The sequence below is a fragment of the Homo sapiens genome, chromosome 8, assembly GCF_000001405.40.
Source record: "Homo sapiens chromosome 8, GRCh38.p14 Primary Assembly".
Lineage (NCBI taxonomy): Eukaryota > Metazoa > Chordata > Mammalia > Primates > Hominidae > Homo > Homo sapiens.
The window spans coordinates 126045481-126049380 of NC_000008.11; the positions used below are offsets into that span (position 1 = coordinate 126045481).

Sequence of the window (3900 nt, forward strand, 5' to 3'; positions counted from 1 at the left end):
TTTCCTTGAATTATTTCCTCAAATATGTTTTCCTGATTATTTACTTATTTTCCTGCTCTCTTAGGAATGCCAATAATTTGTAGGTTTGGTCACTTTAATCATCCCATATTTCTCAAAGACTTGTTTATTTTATACAATTCTCTCTTCTTTGTTTTTGATTGAGTGGGTTAGCTCAAACAAACCGTCTTCAAGTGAGAAATTCTTTCCTCTGTTTGGTCCAATCTATAGATAAATGTTTCTATTCTATTTTGAAATTCCTCAAGTGAGCTTTTCATTCCAGAAGCTGATTGATTTCTTTTTAAGGTGTTTATCTCTTCCTTAATTTTTGGATTGCTTTAGAAGTTTCTCTGTGTTAAAACTTTTCAACCTCATGTTGGATCTCATTGAGCTTTCTTTCAATTTGTGCTTTTATTTCCTATTTGTTTTGACTGAGTTTCCATTTTCATTAGGAACCATTGCTGGAGAGCTGGTGTAATTCTTTGGTGGTGTCACTACATTCAGATTTATCATGGTGCCAGAATTCTTGCCCCTATTCCTTCTCATCTGGAAATGCTGGCATTTCTAATTTCTAGAATTACTTTCGTGCAGGTAGGATTCTTTTTTCTTTCTTTTCCTATGATAGTATTGCTTTTTTTTCTTTCCTTTCTTCCCTCCCTAGGAATGTGACTGTATAGAGTGCTTGGTAGGGTCTTTTGGCTTAGCTTCTATAGCCCTATGCACTTCTTTCAGTAGATTTTACATTGTGCTATACAGTTCAATCTACAAGTTGATAGAGGAAATTTATAGGGAAGAGCTGGCCAGAACAGCTGGGTATGTACTTGATCCTTGTTTACTGGCAGAAACTCTCTGCTGCCTCTTGCAATAAGCTGATTCATGGAATACACAGTGGTCTGAGTTCCTGCTCCGCCCCAGGGTAGCAGGGGCCACAATGGATAGGGCCAGACAAAGCAGGTCTGCCTACAAGTCCCCCAGTGGCTGGCACAAGTGCCAAGGGAGAATTCATTGTGTGGCCACCAATCACCCAGAAGTGTCTCTAGGCATGGAGCTGGAAAACTTTCTCAGCCCCAAGTTTTCTATTTGGGTAAGGGGTTCACCTAAACCAATCCAGGACAGTGGGTGACTTAGATTTCTGGATATCTGCCTGAGCATGGAGTAGGGAGGCACCCCCACCCCTGCACCAAGATCTCTTCACAAGAGGATTGGGCAATTCAGGCTGCTGAGCCAGTCAAGCAGGTATTCTGAATGCCTGGAGATCTACCTGGGAATATAGCAGAGAGGCCCCTGTGCCCCCCACCCCAGAATCTTTGCACAGGAAGGGTGGAGTGGCTCAGGCTGCTGATCCGGGCAAGCTGGTACTCTGAATGCCTGGAGATCTGCCTGGGCATGGAGAAGAGAAGGGCTCGCTGCACCATAATCTATGTCCAGAAAGGGCAGAATGGCTCAGGCTACTGAACCAGATGAGGGAGTACTCTGAATTCTTGGAAATCTCCCTGAGTATGAAGGAAAAAGGGCCTCCTTGCATTAGGATCAATACACAGGAAGGGTTGGGTGGGTCAGGATGCTGATCTAGGTGAGCAGGTACTCCAAATATCTGGAAGTCAGCTTGAACATGGAGCCCCACCCTGACCCGCCCCACCCTGCATCACCCTGCATCAAGATCTCTTCACAGAAGAGGTGTGGTGACTCAGGCTGCTGAACCAATTAAGCAGGTACTCTGAATGCCTAGTGATCTGCATAAGCCTGTAGCAGAAAGGCCCCCTTACCCCTGCACCAGGATCTCTGCACAGGAATGGTAGGGCAGCTCAGGCTGCTGATCCAAGCAAGCTCATGCTCCAAATGCCTGAAGATTTGCTTGGCCATGGAATGGAAAGGGCCTCACTGCACCACAATCTATGTCTAGGAAGGGTGGGGCCGCTCAGGCTGCTAGTTGAGGTAAGTGGGTGCTCTAAATGCCTGGATTTTCACCTGGGAGTGAAAGGGTGGATCAGAGAGGGCCCTGCTGCACCCTGATCTCAGGGGAGAAGAGTGGGGCACCCAGCCATGGCACACACAGACAGGTTTCAAATCACCAAACTGGCTCTGGCTGTAAGTCTCTCTGTCCAGAAGAAACTGCAGCTGTAGCGGCTCTCTTATCATTCCAGACTTGCAGCAGGGAGAGCACAATTCTAGCATCGACTGCTAAGTCGTTTTCCACAGTTCTGGCTGCCCAGGCCCCCACCCTACTCCAGAGCAGGTGCTCCAATCTCTGGCCCAAGACTAAAATGCCTGCATGGCCACACCGCTAGGTGGTCAAGAATGGCTGACTTTGCCCATTTGGGTTAAAAATGATGCCCTGCTGTATTTCCAGATCTGGGAAAATTGCCAGATCTGAGAAAAGCAATGTCTTCAGCTTTTCCCATTGTCTTTCCTTCACAGTATCTCCAAGCCTCTCCCCAGGTTAGCTCTGGGGCTCAGGAGAAAAAAAAAGTGCTCTCCCTTGGCCTGGCTTTCTTTGATCCCCAGTGGAAATGTGAGTCACAGAGGGAGGCTCTCTGCTTCTCTCACGTATAGGAGATTCACTCACTTTTATCATCCTGATGCCATCATGAGGGTTGTTTGCTGGCATTCTCCTTGCCAGGATCTGGAGAGTCCTTCATGTTTCTGTGGATTCCCATTTTCTTTCTTGAAGTAAAGCTAACAGAGTTGATCTTTATTCACTCTTGCTATTTCCAAGTGGCTGCTGCACTTAGAAACATCCAATCTACTACCCTGAAAAAATGAAAACACTTTTCTAACATATTATCTCTGCACCTTTCACTTACCTGCGCCAATACATGCTTTTGTTGCTTACATCAGTTGGTGTTGGGGTTTTGGTTTATTTGAATCCAAAAGAGCTTAGAGCTCTTTTGTCAATGGGATTTTCACATAGACTTTGATAACTCTCAGATTGTGGCATCCTTAGATATCCTTGGTCTAGGGAGCTGGATGGCTGTTGTTGTAGAATGGATAAGGTAAGTTGCACTTGTAGCTGTCTCATATGTCATTTACTAATAAGTACCACCGTCTTTGATACAGTACAACTTTTATAAGTCAAGATACCTTAACCACAATAGTAAATTTCTAAATAGATGCATTGTTAATTAATGTCATAGATGGTCTTTCTCCATGTATATATCAGTTCACTTAAGACTATAAACTTGAGACCAGATCGGATGAAACTATAACTGTTCTTCCATGCAAATCTCTGTGGCTTCTCTGTAAAGGAATGCCTTTTACAACTGTACACTGGGTGAAATAACTGTATGGAATCTTACTCAGGCTTCAAATGGTTCTCACTAAGTGTTCTCTACCTTCTTACAAAACTTTAAGTAATAACAATCTTCAAAACGCTAATATAAACCTCTAGATGCCTTCTGATCTCTTAGGAGCTGTGAGCAAATGTTATGCTAACATGCTCTGTTACAGCTGAGAAAATACATCAAATTTGCTAGTGAACCACGTTATTGACAGAGCTCTGGGAATTCAACCCCATGAGCCTCAGAAGTTAGAAAGCAGAGCAAAGCTTATGCTAGAAAAATAAAGTCCTTTGACTATGGCCTTGATTTTTTAATTATAATACCCTAAAAGTTACAATTTTATTCGGCCTACTCACCAGGCATTTAAAAAACAGGATTGCTGCATCTTGCTTTTAAAGAGCATGTCTGCATGAAAACATAGTATGCCTCCACCTCCTGTGGAACTATCTAGTAATTCAAAGGCATATTTCATCTGAGTTGTCTAGACTGTCATTGCCATTGGAAAATTAAAAATAAAAATGTTCAGTTCTTACTGTGCTGCGGAATGCAGGAATGAGGATACTCAGAGAGCCCATAACTTTAAAAGTACAGGCCACAATTCCACTCTGAAAACAAAACAAGCCCA

At 43.6% G+C, this 3900-nt stretch overlaps 1 annotated feature.

Moving 5' to 3' along the window:
- Positions 1782-2981: an enhancer, noted in NCBI's record as "CDK7 strongly-dependent group 2 enhancer chr8:127059506-127060705 (GRCh37/hg19 assembly coordinates)". NCBI's record gives its function as "activates an origin of replication core promoter dependent on BRD2, BRD4, P300/CBP, MED14 and CDK7 cofactors, with strong dependence on CDK7, by STARR-seq in HCT116 cells {active_cell/tissue: HCT116}" and the evidence as "EXISTENCE:reporter gene assay evidence [ECO:0000049][PMID:35650434]".